Genomic DNA, 13,474 nt, shown 5'->3' with positions numbered 1-13,474 from the left:
ATCGATGTGAATTGGGCATCACTAATCTATCTTGTACATATAGAAAGTGAATCCTGGACATGAACTAAAGAGACTGCAAATGGTCTCTTCTTTTCCTGTTTTACCTACTGACTTTTCTGCTATACAATGATGCCTTGATTGTCTACTATTCCCTTGGGGTCCTCAAGCATGATGTGCCCATAGTAATGCTCAGCTATCCCTTTGGAAGACATTCAACAACTCATGTCTTTTGGGTGCTTCTTCAGGAACTTCAGATTTAACCCTCAACCTCCTCTCAGCTCAAGTAATTAGAAGATAAGATGATAAAATAGTAAGAATACAGCTTAAATGAATAAACTAGAATATATACATAGAACTGATTAGTATAGATTCTTATGTTATTATTCTAATAATATTATTATTACTCATATTATGAAAATTCTTTTTTGGGGGAATAGAATTATTTTAAGAATCACAAAGAAAACTTATTATTTTAAAAGCATCCTTTATTTTTCTATCCAAATAGTGTTACCCAACTTGATCACTCTCAGTTTATTCAAGACTTGATTCAAAATCACATTTTTCTCATTGTAAGAACATTCTGTATATGAAAGTTGGAGAGTTCTGGGGTTTATAGCCTGGTCAACCATTTACCAGTTGTTTATTCTTGTGTCCCTTGGTTAATATCTCGGATTCCCAGTTTTCTCAGCGGCAAAATGGGAATAGTGATATCCAGGTTTTTATAAATACTAAAATGTTAAATTATGATCAATACCTATTTAGCACTTAGCATAATAACTAATATATCATAGGGGTTAAATAAAGACATGATACTTTATTTACTTTAAAAATATGATTTTTAAAAATCACTAAAATTTCCAAAGAATGTCTACTAAATTATTTAAGTCAATATCAAAAGAGAAATGTAAAATTGTCTAATTACTTGTATAATGATATAACATGAGCATATTATAAAGGAGTATGATTTGGTTAGGCAGATATGTGCTTTGTTAAAAATTCAGTTCTGTTATTTATAGCCAATTAGACTCACAAAGCATATGCTGGGTGGGGATTAAAGAAGAATGGTTCACTAAAGTTATGGTCTGTCAATACATTTAGAGTAAGATTGACTAGAAAATTTGAGAACATATAAGCAAAGAACATGAGAATGAAAAGTGTATATAATTATTATTTACTATTGCTTTGTGCATTTTCACAGTTTTATAATCAGTGTATCCATTTTTAAATGGAAAACCCTTGAAGGGAAGTAACATTTATTTGTATGCATAGTGGCTTGCATGGAGCACACTGTGGCTGTATTTGAGTAAAACTTCTATTCTGGCCACTCATCTGAATCAATGTCTTTCTGTGGTTATCTTTAAAGATGTCTGGCTATGTTAATCCTTTCAACAACCATGCTAGATTAATGGACAAGTAATTAAATTAATGCACACTCTTCTTGCCTACCGTCATTAGGAAATAGGGGGTAATTCTAACCTCTGCCCACATATTTCTTAGTGAATGCACCTGCTTTAAGGAAGCCCAATATAAAACCCCTTACATTTGCAAGCAAATCAAGGGCCAATGTTTATTTTCTAAAAGGATGTCCATATGGTGTTTAGAATGAATACTTCTAGGAATACAGTAACAGTGTTGAAGTGAGAAATGCTTGTGTTTTTAAGCTGCATCATCATACCAGCCATTGTTACACATCTCTGTGGCACTAACTCCTAATCTACACACCATAATTTTTTTCACCCTTCTACTCTGAAATGATATATTTTAAAATCAGTGTAATTGGCATATATAGGTGTATACTTGGTTTCTCATAGGAATTTTATTTCTCCGATTGGAGGGGCAAAATAAGCTAGCAGAAAAATGCCTTTCACAGATTGAGGCCAGTAAAGAGGACATCTGTCCCTATGGGTTTGGTTACCCTGCCTGAAACTGTGCTAGAATTGGGAGCTGTCGTGTGCATCTTTAGAAAGTGCAGTATTGATGGGCGCCAAGAACTCATTCCTTACTCAACTTTACCTACTTACTTGGAGCCATCATGGGGTTGTCAAGAGGTATCATACCAAGAGGCACAGGAAAATAAAATCCTTGATTCTGGATTAACCCAGGAACCAAGAGAAGGTGACAGTTGACTGCAGTTGAGCTGTGCATGTCTGTATACCGGGACCACTGGAAACTTTAAAATCATATATGTGACTCATGTGTGGTCTGAATTACACTTATTTTTGGTCAGTACTATTCAGAGTCAGACCAACTTAGATTCAAATACAGCTTCTGCCATTTACTAGTGAATTTAGGCAAAACTTAAAAATAAGGGCATCAGTTTCCACTATATGACAAAAAAGAAGGATAAATTCATATAAGACATTTTGAGAATTGAGATAAAATAAAATATGAACCCAGCAGGTGCCTGGAAAGAAAGACAACATTCAGTGAATGTTAGCTCCTTCTCACATCCATTCCCTTCATACATACTTTTATGAATATGGATAAGAATAGATATATTATACGTGTGTGTATCTTAGTCTTTGGGGACAACCAGAATGCTGTTTTTAAAAATCCTGTTCTTGGTGGGGTGTGGTAGCTCACGCCTGCGATCCCAGCACTTTGGGAGGCAAAGGCGGGTGGATCACTTGAGGTCAGAGTTCAAGACCAGCCTGGCCAACATGGTAAAATCCCATCTCTATCAAATGATACAAAAATTAGCTGGGCGTTGTGGTGCACACTTGTAGTCCTAGCTACTCTGGAGGCTGAGGTGGGAGAATCGCTGAGCCTGGGAGGCAGAGGTTGCGGTGAGTTGAGGTCGTGCCACTGCACTTCAGCCTGGGCAACAGAGTGAGACCCTGTCTCAAAATAAATAAATAAATAAATAATAAAATAAAAATCCTGTTCGTTTAAAGCGCTCCTTCAAATACAGGCTGTCACTCAATAGTTGTATAATTTGGGGTAATGTATATGTATATACTATTAAGTGGTAAATAACACCTATCTCCCAGAGTTGTTCTATGAATTAGAAATGATCCTTGTAAAACACCTAGCATATTACCTAACCTAACATTGGTACTTAATATATTGCATATACTGTCATCATTTATGTCATTATCGTTAACAAGCATCATCATTATCACCATTATCATCATCACTAAACAAAGCAGGTGGTAACTACATATATATAATATATATATGTAGCTCCCTGTTCCTTTTTGCTGTCTGATTTACAGGGAAGACAGTTTAATTCCACTACAACCTTAATTTGCCTACACATAAATGAGGTGATACCTTTAAGAGGCAAAATGAGTGTGTCGGCTGAGTAGCATTCACATGGTGGGCGTTTTAATCAAGGTCACTTCCTAGGCTTCTGTGTATTTTTTCTCCATTATTTGGTAGCAAAACTCCTGATCTATTCTTCTATGCTGTTGTGAAATTCCTCTGTCGAATCCTTTCCTCTTGTTTCCTTTCTCTCTCTCCTCTTAGATTGTCTTTGCCATATTTCCACATTCCTCTTTCCCAAGCTGACACCTTTCCCTCTCCCTTTTAAGTGTTCAGCGCATAGAACAAACACATTTGCCTCTGGTCTTCCAGGTAGCTAATTAACATAGCATGTTCTAAGGCTGTGTGTGTGTGTGTGTGTCTGTGTCTGTGTCTGTGTGTGTGTGTGTGTGTTTTACTTATGACGTGCTATTGTTTTTCCTGGATCTGACTTGGCAACTATATTTATTTGAAAAAAAAAATGTGTGGTATGATTTGCTTTTCTAATTTTCAGAGAGAGCTCTTTTGGTTACACGGGGGTCGGCTTTTCCAGTGGCTGGTGCCAGCAAGCTGGGACTGCACACAGAGCTCTGTGCTAGGCAAGGAAATCCTTCATTAGGCTTGTATTCCATGAAGGCACTTTTGCTTCTTAACGCCTGTGATTTTAATTAAAGCTTGGAAAGTAAAGAATCTTCTAGTTGTATTAATGCTTTCATTTCCATTAGGACAGTATAGTTTATAAACACTATCCGGGTTTATAAATTAGTCCTCATGCGAATAATAAGTACACAATGTCACATAGAAAGCAAAACTCTGCCAGCCCATCTGTTCTCTCACTCTTTTTTCTTCGATTGTTGTTTTCCTCTTTGGAGACTTGTGGAGGAATGGTCCTTGATTTCTTTTATCTCTATCTATCATTCATATCCTTTAACCATGTCTCGTAGGACTGCATATGCTAAAACCAGATTTTATTCTGAGTTGATAGAAGGGGACATTGGTGGTTCATTTGTATGTAAATCTAAAGTAAAAATAAATAAAAATTCAGCCATTAAATTCACTTGGGGGACAGAATTTTCTATTTCTATAAATCTTGATTTTTTAGAACATTTAAGCTTTTCAGAATACAAAACTGTATATGTATACACACACACACACACATACAAATGCATACACATGTGTTTATATTTCTAAAGTAGAGAGGTTACCAGACACAATTATTTTATATACAGTGCTTAATTAATGGATTATCATTCTCCTTCATATGCATCAAGAAATGTAACCAGATAAACAATTATGGAATTACAGTCAAGAGTCTGACAAAAATACATAAAATTAGTATTATATGAAATGTCTGTTTATGCAAAAGCAAATGATCAATATTATCAATTTCAGTAAAAGCTTTTAATTAGAGAAAATTTTATAGGGGACAAAATGAACCAGGAACTGGGCATAAGTCAGTTCTATAGACATATTGGTCTCTAGAATCCTTTTTGAAAGTAGGGCAGTATAAATTATAGAGAAATGTAGACATATTTAAAGAAGTGAGTATTCTATGGGGAGTAATAAACCCCTAGAACTACTTTTTATTGATTAGAGACTTAGGTGGCTTCCATTCCGTAAGCACTCAGGAGTCTGACTGCTTCCAGAGCTTGGAAGAATTGGCTTTAAGGGTGTATATACTTTCTGCAGGTACTTGCTGAGAACTCAGCCTTGTGTAGGCTATGGGACTCTTTGGTTGAGATAATTTTCAACTGCAGTTTGTGTCTTGTCTATCTGAAGTAACTGGATGACACAAAGAAGTGCCCCTTTTGTGAGTGTCATGGCATCTGAGTACCCACATGGGTTATGGGTGTCACATGCGGGGGCAGGGTTCTCTCCTCTGAACAGGGTGTTGTGTGTCTGTCCAGCTCTTTTCGCATAGAGAGTTAAGGTCCAGGCTTATTTTATCTATGTCTCATAAACATAGGAGTATCATATGTGGGAGGGTCATTGGCACTATCTGCATATGGCACTCTCACAAACTGACAGACAGATCGGAACACTGCTAATAGGCACATCTGTGGTGAAATGCGCCAAAAATCAACATGTTTCCTCATAACAAAATATGCATAGCACAACAAACATATGTATGGCAGTGTGATTTAAAAACCCTACAAGTTACCATAAATACAAAATACCAAATTATAATATTATATACCTTTATTATCAGAAAACTTAAGTGAAACGTTTAGTCACCGAAGAATAAATATCTTAGACATACTAAAAACGTCCTTTGCAATCTTGATTCAACATTTTGCTACGTTCTCTTAGCTTTCTTCCACCAATTTTTCTTGGTTTCTCCTGAATATGAGTATCCATAAAAGCAATAGTAATAATACTTTATACATTGATATTCTATAGCACCTTAATTTACAAAGAGTTTTTTTTCACATACATTATCTATTTTTCAGCAATCTTATCTGGCTAATGAGTAAGTTTGTGTGTGTGTGTGTGTGTGTGTGTGTGTGTATGTGTGTGTGACTATATGTGAAAGATGAGACTTTATTTACTGGGCCTAACAACAAGTTCATCTAAAGTTCCTAAAAAATAATGTTGTGTGGTTTAAGTATCTTATTCTTCTATTTGCTTCTTTGAAAAACATGCCTATGTATCACCTGATTTTCAGTTTTTGAAACGCATTGACCCAGGGATCATTATCCTATTGTACCTACCCCACTGTCTCCATGTTTGTGAGTTACAATTTTCCTCATAAGGGAATTTATTATTAAAGGATATAAAAGACATTTTAGTCACATGATAGTAAGACTATTGATACTATAATTATCTATGTCTTCAAGAATCTCCCAGTCAATAGGATCTCTTTTTCTGAGCCTGGTTCTGAACAAGTTGAGAATAAAGTGAAGGAAAAATGGAGGCCAAAATGTCATCTTAGTACTGATAATGACTAATTTATTTGTTGCATTTTGAGGTCTGTTAGGATGTGGCTTTGCTAATACTGAACCCTTGACTTAGAAGTCTTACCACTCCTGGGAAAGGCAGCTCTGTCCCTGGGAAGGCTGCCCCAGAGCCTGCAAAGGTAGGTTCCTGCAGGACTCGTAGCAAGGAGAAGCTGAGGAGGCTGTGGTCTCAGTGGGAAGGCCCCTTCCCATAAGAAGGAAGAGTGAATCTGAGCCAACAGCATTATTCTTCCCAAATTTAACCATCAGGTGTGCTATACCAACTCCCCAGAGGAAATATGTAAAGGGATGGATAGAAACCAGGAGCGTGCTTAGGGAAAATATTCCCATATGGAAATGGGGAGCAGAGAAAAGGCATTCCTTTCTAATAATATATTTACCTAACTGATCATATAATCACAAAATAACTTGTAAGAATTGGGCCAAGGAAATATGGCAACGCCTCATTTAAAACAAATTTGGTAAATATTAAACAAGATCTGTTTCACGGGGGTATGCCGTATTTGGATTTGCAGAAGACTGGTTTGAATCAAAAGGAAGATGGGCCAGAGATTTAGTTTTTGGAGTGTGCATATAATTTTTGGTCTGTTATCAAGCCTTACTTTGATAAATGGATGTAAGCTAATCGCTAAATGCATACTTACCAGTGTCACTCAGACAGTGCTCAGCAGCTGTCTGTCCTATTTGTTAAACTGATTAGAATCTAAGACAAGTTCTTTGTGTCGAAGGCCTTGTAGCCCCTGCATGATCAAACAGGATTGAAGCCTGGGTGCAGAGAAGAGGGCAGATGGATTCTCATCTTCTATCTTATGGTCCTCAGCAAAGGAATGTTATTGAGATATCCTTCCAAGAAGTTTAAATAGAAGTGTCTGTTGGCAAAATGAAAACAAATGGAGAAGCCAGTGAGACCCACACAGGGGTCTCAGTTTCCTGCTGCCTGCAGCCCCTGTGGGAGAGGCAAGCTGGCACTTTTATTCAGAAGAATGCATCTCAGTCAGAGGCAGGAGCTGTCAGAATTAGCAGGGAGGAGGAGGTACTTTCCCCTGATAGCTTGCTAAGCTCCCTGGAATTCTCTGACATTGCTGAATCTGTTAGAGGCCAATATTCAGTCAGCTTAAGGAGATGGGCTTTTTGACTCCCCCAAGATTCTAAACTCATCAATTGGTCTAATCAGTGTATCTCCTTGGAAACACCATTGGGAACTCCACAAATGCAACAGTTCCATCCTTGTTGCTTTCTCTGACTATTCACATTCAAGAAGAATCTGCAGACAATGCATTCAACTGCTGGTTCCCTTCAGGCACTGTTTACTGGCACTTTCTTCTACCCTGTAGTTCTCAGTGCTACTCTCTGCTCAGGCCCACCATGGTTGTCCTCTTTTCTCATAGTTTTTTCTGGCCCTTCCTTCCAACCTCTCAGTAAAAGCAATACTAGAGACTGTCTGAATGATTTTTTTCTTAACATCTAGGGGGTTGAGAATGATGCCTGGCTCGCAACTTCCTGTATACTCTGTGGACACTGCTTGCTGGTCTCTAGAAGTGGGGTTAGTTTTATTGTCGAAACTGTTGTTTCAATAAATTTGTAACTGTACTCGAGAACAAGATGGAGATCAAGGAAGCATAGGTTGTATCCAGAGTGCAAAATGGTGCATCAAAGTGATGTTCCGAAGTTGCAAAAAGGAAGAAATTATTCCGCTGTATGAAAACTGGTGTATGAAAAAACTGATAGCCTCTGTTTCACCAAAGAACAGAAAATTAGCCTTGTTTCAGGTCAGGCTTAATTATCAGGGGGAAAATAAAGGAGTATGTTGACCTTCCACACTGAGAACTACATACTTGAATACCAGGACTTTTGTTAATATGCTTGCATGCTTAGGAAGGACATTAATAAAAGCAAAAATCTCTTATTTCCTGCAGCTTTGTCTCCCTTAGTGGCTAGTAAATTGCTGATTATTAAATTGATTAGAGAGGTTAGGCGAATAGAACTCTGGTTTTGCAGATCAGAATGTCATGTCAAGCATGTCATATTCCCCTGACTTACATGTGCAAATGTCACTCTACTTTGTCCCCAAATGATAGACAAAGATGTGAGACAAAGGGTGGGAGTATAGTATAGTATTGCTTTCTCATGGCACCTTTGGAAGCTAAGCAAAGTTTTCTACCGTAAGTGCCTAAAACTGATAGAAAACTAAGGGAAAAAAACTATGCTACGGGTACTCTGTGTTTTTCCCTACCCCTGAAAAAAAAATAGTTGTAAAGCCCTTCCACATATACTATCTCATTAGATTTTCGCAACAACTTTGTGAAGTAAGAACTGTTTTATTTTTTAATTTCTCTCTCTTCCTTTCCATGTTTGTAAAGTAGAGATCATAATATGAATTTCAGGGGCTTGTTTTGAAAAGGAAATGAGATTATATCAATCCCTTACTATGTGTTTCAGTTTGGGTTGTTCAAGAAGCAGAGACCTAAATGGAATAAATCGTTGTAGAGATTTACTGGGAAAAAAATACATGTGAAGAATTGAGGAGAAGACAGCAGAGAAGGTGAAAGGAGGCTTCAGATTGCAATGTAGGTCTGACATATGTGAGCAAAGGACCACACAGATAAAGGATTGGTTTGGAAGAGCTTCAGAGTGGGATTCTGAAAAAGACTCAATCCAAATAAAAAGTTGCCTGCTAGGTGTCTGCAATGGGAAGAAATAGGTCAGTTCTAATACCCTACTGAGTCATTGTCTGAGAACAGCCTGGAGGAAGCATGGCCCTAGTGCAAGCTCCCCGTGGATCCCAAAGGGTAGCCGCTGGAGGCTCTCATCCCACATGGCCTCTTGGCAGCAGATGCTCTTGAAGGGAGACCGTTGTGGAGTGGGGCATGTCCATGACCCTCACAGTACAGGTGCCTGGAATGTATTAAGCACTTGAAATGAGTTAACTATTATTATTCCCATTACACAGATAAGGAAGCTGTATATCCAATGGCAATGTGTGATTTGGCTAGGATTCTTTGTAACAGAGTCGAGGCTTAAACCTACATTTCTGCCTCTGGATCTTATGCTCTGTCAAGCACATCACACAGCTGCTCTTTAACAGCATGTACTTAATGCATTTCCTTCTGTGATGCTAATTCCACTGGGGACAATAAAACCTCCCCCTAAGTCCTTCAGGTTGTGTAGCCTTGCTGCCTCTGAGAGAGGCTTGGTCCATTCCTGTGGCTTCTTAGGCCCAGAATCTTGCCCTTAGCTCTCAGTAGCCCAATTCCTGGGATCTGAGCCAAGGCAAACTCCAAGGCTGAACCTCAGCTCCCAGAAAGGCCATGTCACTCTTGGCTTCAGCATTTAGAAGACAGCATGCAAAGCTTCTTTTTGTGTGGAGAAGGCTGTGGGTATTCTCTGGTGCCATGATACATTGGAATATCACTGCATGTCATTTTCACTTAAATCTCATAATCGTGTGCCAAATTCTTTTATGGCCTCTAATCTGTTTCTCAGTGAACAGATTTTAATTTTTCCTTTTTACCTAAAGAATATATATATATATATACACATGTGTGTGTATATATATATATATATATATACATGTGTGTGTGTATATATATATATACATGTGTGTGTATATATATATGTGTGTGTATATATATACGTATACACACACACACACACACACACACACATATATATATCTCCTTTAAAATGTGTGTGCTAGCAAGTTCTTTTAAATGTCTGAGGACAGGTTTATTGTACACATCTTTTTATCAATTTTCAGAGATGAGAATGTAACACAGCCACGTTCTAGCCAGTTTACAGCTTAGATTACAGCAGGCTAGTTTCTAATTGTCCTAACAGATTTCTGGCTTCATTATTAGTTCTTAAGCCAAGAGCACAAAAGAAGTACAATTTCTGGGTGTTGTCATGTTTAAATAATTACAATTTCCTACTTTTAAAAATAGAGTCAAGTATCCCTAAATTGAGGTATGATAAGTTAAATATGCCCATGTTTATACACAGAGACATACACAGGTACACTGGCATTTTTGACTCTGCAATATGAATGTGGAGACAAATATGAAAGAAGTCTAGAGCACATATAATCAGGCCTTTTGGTGGAAAATTGCAGTACCCTTGTGTTGGAATGAAACTTCTCAGGATTACAGTAGTAAAGACTAAAAGACAGATGATCCTTCCCTCATTTTTATAGATAGTCTGACCTAAAAGCTTCAATCCTATTACTATAATGTTCTTAATGACCTCCAAAGCTATTTAGAAACTTTTGGTCATCTCTAAGATCGCTGGCTAATAGGCAAGGTGTTTTCAGTTGAGCCTCTTAAATCTACCCTTGGAACAGGCTTTCTGAGAGTAGAAAATTGATTTGTTTGTTTATTTGTTCCCTGCTTGTCCAAAAAAGTATTTGAAGTAGTCAGGAGAAAGAAGTCACACTGTTCACCTGGCAAGATGTGCCCAACCAACAAAATCACTAAAGTATGGGTAAAGTGATGTTGCATGGACCCTAAAAGAAAAGTTCCAAAGAACAAGCCAGGCCACCTGGGAATTAGATCACTACCTAATGGTCAAATATGTATTTCCAGGTGTCTTTCCTCAGGCTTACCCAAGAAAGGCTTTAGAACTGAGACTGGGGTAGAATTCCAGTGGCAACAATTACCAATCATAATACAACAAAACGTTAAGTGGCCAACTTTAAACAGCACTATTTAGTGTTAATTAAATAGTTAAGATAGTTACTTAGAGCTCACTTTTAGGAATTTAACCTATATAATTTATTTATGTGATTTGTGCTTACTGAAGGAATTTTTTAAATTATTCGGAAGTCTAATCCCCTAAAATAGACTTGTCCTCTTCTCCCCAACTATGTTCCATATTTAGTCATCATTCTTAAAAATTACCATCACTTTATTTATTTTCACTGAGGATCTTAAAAGGTATGAGAATGGAATGCAAAATAGCTCAACCACAGATCATGTGACTGAGTTTAAATTACCCCGTGATTACCCAGAAGGATTTTAGAGTCACATTTAAATCTTCTTTTTTAGCTTCTTATTTTATATGCCAAAAAAGATAACATATGTTTATTTAGTCATTTGAGATTTTCAACTCATATAACAAAGTAGCAAATAAGACATCTGCAAAGGTGGATTTTACAAAAGGTAGATATTATACTTCGTATTTCACACAGGAGGAAATCAAAGCTCAGAGAGGTTAACTCACTCTTTCATGTTTAGCAAATGGAACTAGAACTTAACTATAACATCTATCTGGTGTCTCTATTGACTATAATACCAAAGTATTTTTTCTCATAATGCTATCTTTGTTCCCACCATAATTCATCCTACCTGTGGTAGCCAGAATGATATTTTTAAAAAGTAAACCAGGTAAAGTCATTCCCCTGCTACAAAGTCATCTAAAAGATTCCCGTTGCATGCAGAATACAATAAAAATCCTTGTCGTGACCTCACCATGACTATCCACGTGACCTCATCTTGTACCGCCCTCCTCCAATCTTACAAACTCAAGCCATGTGACTCTTTTATTCTCACCTGTATAGATTCTCATATTTGCTGTTTCTTCTGCCTGAAACTGTCCACTGTGAGATTTTTACATTGCTTCCTCCTCCTTGTCATTCGAGTCTCAGTTCAAATGTCATACATTTTTAGGGGTACATTTGTCAAATCAAATTTCCTTATGTATACCATATAAGAAATTATTGTTTTCATTTATTTGCTTACATGTCCATTTTATACCTCTTCTCAACAATCACACCCTGAAATATAAACCCAACAAAAATTCTTTGTGTCTTTTGTTCTTTGCTGTGTCCCCAACGTCTAGGACAGTACCTGAGAGTCTTCTACATTGTACTTAGTTTTGAAAGTGAACTTAAAAACTCAAAGTCTTTCTGCACATGTTCACAAAATCTTCAGACTTGAGTGAGAAAGTAAATATTGGTTTTTAAAATGAAGCATTAATGATATAATGCTAAGTGATAGTGTACAAAATTATATACAGTATGATTAGAAATATATGTGCAGAAACTGCAATGAAATAGACCAAATACTAACAATAATAACAAAATTTTTTTGCATATTGTGACATATTTTCTCAGTTGTCTACAGTGGACCTATTTCACTTAAATAATTGGAATAAAATTACTTTTAAAGCACAAAATAAAACTTAAAAGGAGAAAACTATTTCTCAGTACCAAAAGGATTGTTTTCTAAATTTATTCTGCTTTGCAATGTGTGCTAATACCAATATTCACCTGCTCTACAGGCCATATTGCCTCAATTCTTCCACAGTGTCTCAAGTGATGGGTTTGAAGTTTTCTCTTCAGAATGTAATTCACTTTATTTATATCTCTGCAACAACTCAGTAGTATGCATAATTCTCTAGAAATTCTGTAAATGATGTGGAATAAAGTAGAATTATGTTCTGCCACTTTCTGGATAATTCCTAGATGTTTATTGCTGCTTAAGTTTGCATCAGATTTTTTTGGCAACTCACATCATCAAATTAGAAATCTACTCCATAGGTTTCCCCCATAGGCACAGCTAGTATTGCTATACTCTCTCACCTCATAGTTGTATGTGTAGTTTTGTTTTTATTTGCCAATAAATCCTAACATCTATCTAAATATATTTCATTGGTTTAGATTTGTATCATTCTTCTAACATTTTGGGTTATTTTAAAACCCTATTCTATTACTCAGCCGATTCATTATTCCTGCCCCCAAATTCATGTTATGTACAAATGTGACATTCACTTAGTTGAATTGTGTTTTACTTTTTTTTTTTTTTTTTTTAGAGAAAGGCTCTTATACCATTGCCTGGGCTAGAGTGCAGTGACACAATCATAGCTCACTGCAGCCTTGAATTCCTGGGCTCAAGCAATCCTCCCAACTCAGCCTCCCATAGCACTTGGATTATAGGAAAGAGCCACTGCACCTGGCCTGAATTGTTTTGTAAAATGTTGAACAGGTTAAGTTGAAGAACAGAACTCAATTCGGAGCTTCTAAATCATGCTTAGTTAATACTGATTTGCCCGTCATTTGCATGCTGTGGTTGCCATTGATCAGTCAGTTACAAATCTAGCTACTATTACAATCCAGTCCATATATGTTGATTTTTAACAAGAAGGTGGTGGTGAGGATGGTAGGAAGTATCTTACTAAAATCTAGATAAATAAATACCTGCTATATTTCTCATGAATTTAAAATATTAATAATTATATGGAGAAAAAGGAGCTGCGAAAATTCTGAATTATTTGCAGTGATT

The 13,474-nt window shown here is 36.8% G+C and overlaps 1 long non-coding RNA gene across 1 annotated transcript in view, besides 1 other annotated feature; it reads right to left on the bottom strand.

The window, feature by feature from the left end:
• Positions 1-3,307: 3,307 nt before the first annotated feature.
• Positions 3,308-13,474, bottom strand: part of LOC101926953 (uncharacterized) — a 74,452-nt gene continuing 64,285 nt past the window's right edge. The window contains exons 4-5 of the long non-coding RNA NR_188507.1: positions 6,845-7,069; positions 3,308-4,261 (exon numbers count right to left, since the gene is read on the bottom strand). This is a non-coding gene — a long non-coding RNA (uncharacterized LOC101926953). The remainder of the gene's footprint in view (positions 4,262-6,844; positions 7,070-13,474) is intronic.
• Positions 9,021-9,546: an enhancer, noted in NCBI's record as "NANOG hESC enhancer chr3:117506993-117507518 (GRCh37/hg19 assembly coordinates)". NCBI's record gives its function as "activates a minimal SCP1, AML or CMV promoter by ChIP-STARR-seq in naive H9 embryonic stem cells {active_cell/tissue: H9 hESC(naive)}" and the evidence as "EXISTENCE:reporter gene assay evidence [ECO:0000049][PMID:30033119]".

Source organism: Homo sapiens, chromosome 3 (genome assembly GCF_000001405.40).
Source record: "Homo sapiens chromosome 3, GRCh38.p14 Primary Assembly".
NCBI lineage: Eukaryota > Metazoa > Chordata > Mammalia > Primates > Hominidae > Homo > Homo sapiens.
Note: the sequence above shows the minus strand (reverse complement) of the source record. Positions and strands in the feature narration are given on the sequence as shown.